Here is a 2107-nt window from a genome sequence, read left to right as displayed (position 1 = left end):
ATACTTTATATCTTTACAACAATTAATTGGAGGTCAGTCATAGACCAATATATTGATAGAGGTGTTGGTTACATGCATATATACTTAGGTATAATATCATCAAGATATATACTTGATTAGTGCAACCTACCATATGTGTTATACCTCAGCAAAAATGTGGTTATAGATGCATGCATATATAATGTTTACCTACATCGGGGCACATGTATATACAAATAATTTACTTCAACTTTTATTTTAGGTTCAGGGGTACATGTGGAGGATGTGCAGGTGTGTTACACAGGTAAATGTGTGCCATAGTGGTTTGCTGCATAGATCATCCCATCCCTAGGTATTAAGCCCAGCATCCATTAGCTATTCTTTCTGATGCTCTCCTTCCCCATCCCCTCCCTCCCAACAGGCCCCAGTGTGTGTTGTTCCCCATCATGTGCCCATGTGTTCTCATTGTCAGCTCCCACATATAAGTGAGAACATGCGGTGTTTGGTTTTCTGTTCCTGTGTTAGTTTGCTGAGGATATCAGCTTCCAGCTCCATCAATATCCCTGCAAAGGATGTAATCCTGTTCCTTTTTATGGCTGCACAGTTTTCCGTGGTATTTATGTACCACATTTCCTTTTTTTGTTGTTGTTGTTTTAAGTGTTAAGTAATCTTTATTTGATATTACACATAAACCACACAAAATGCCTTTGAATAAGTAAAAGGAACCATCTTAAATACAGGGAATTCTAATTACAATGGCATAGTTAAGGCCAAAAATACAAAGTAGACATTGCTACCTTATCTTCAACCCTTGCCTTTAAGTGGCAAATAAACACAAAACACAGGTGAATCTTGCTTGGTTCTGAGACAGTGAAGGAATTTCCCCAGTATTTAAATATATTCACATAACCAGTCATAAATCCAAATATAAACCAATATAAATATAAATATAAAACCAATCTTCATTAAGTTTTAAGATGGTACTCACCATCTTTGTGAAAAGTTGAACATTATTAACAAAGTCTAATCATATATTTAGAAGGAGTAAACAGTGATAGCATTCACTGAATTGGAATTACTATTAATATTCAAAAACCAAACTTATTCATTTAACCACAAGCTAGTATTAGTTTTAAATCAGGACTGCCCAACAAAATATTCTGAGAGTCATTCATAATCTGAATTCTGGTGTATGAGATCTATTAAATTATGGTACACATAAAAAAGTCATGAGACATTTCCGTTTTGTAATATAAGGTATAAGGCAGTGGCCAATTATTACTCACTAGTAGCTTTTTTGAGATAAGCTATCAAGTCTGCCCTTTCTGCATTGTTCTTAATGCTGGCAAAGATCATTTTTGTTCCAGGAATGTACTTCCTGGAATTCTCAAAATACTCTATCAGTGTATCCTCTCCCCAGGTGATGGCTTTGTTCTTATCAATCTCTATGTTAAGATAATCCAATGGACTGACATGTCCTCCACCTGAAGAGACCATGGAGTTTAGGCCCAGTCTTGTGCTTGCTTCCCTTTTCCACAGTGTGGCACTGGGCACACATCTGAAGAAAAATTTTCTTGCCTTTCTCAGAATCAGCCATATTTAATTCTCTCTTTCATCACTGGCACTACAAAGGTTCCCGCTCAGAAGCCCGATGTCCCACTCTATGTACCATATTTTCTTTATCCAATCTATCATCGACTGGCATTTAGGTTGATTCCATGTCTTTGCTATTGTGAATACTGCTGTAATGAACATATGTGTGCATGCATGTATTTTTATAAGACAATGATTTATATTCCTTTGGGTATATACCCCATAATGGGATTGCTGGGTCTGATGATATTTCTGCCTCTAGGTCTTTGAGGAATTGCCACAGTCTTCCACATGGGTTGAACTAATTTACACACCCACCAACAGCATTTCTTTTTCTCTGCAACCTTCACAGCATCTGTTATTTTTTGGCTTTTTAATAGTAGCCATTCTGACTGGCATGAGATGGTATCTCATTGTGGTTTGCATTTCTTTAATGATCAGTAATGTTGAGCTTTTATTTCATATTTTTGTTGACTGCATGCATGTCTCTTTTGGGAAGTGTCTGTTCAGATCCTTTGCCCACTTTTTAATGGGG

At 36.6% G+C, this 2107-nt stretch overlaps 1 pseudogene; it reads right to left on the bottom strand.

The window, feature by feature from the left end:
- On the bottom strand, nt 637-1642 carry CYCSP49 (CYCS pseudogene 49; annotated as a pseudogene).

Source organism: Homo sapiens, chromosome Y, assembly GCF_000001405.40.
Source record: "Homo sapiens chromosome Y, GRCh38.p14 Primary Assembly".
In the NCBI taxonomy this organism is placed as follows: domain Eukaryota; kingdom Metazoa; phylum Chordata; class Mammalia; order Primates; family Hominidae; genus Homo; species Homo sapiens.
Note: the sequence above shows the minus strand (reverse complement) of the source record. Positions and strands in the feature narration are given on the sequence as shown.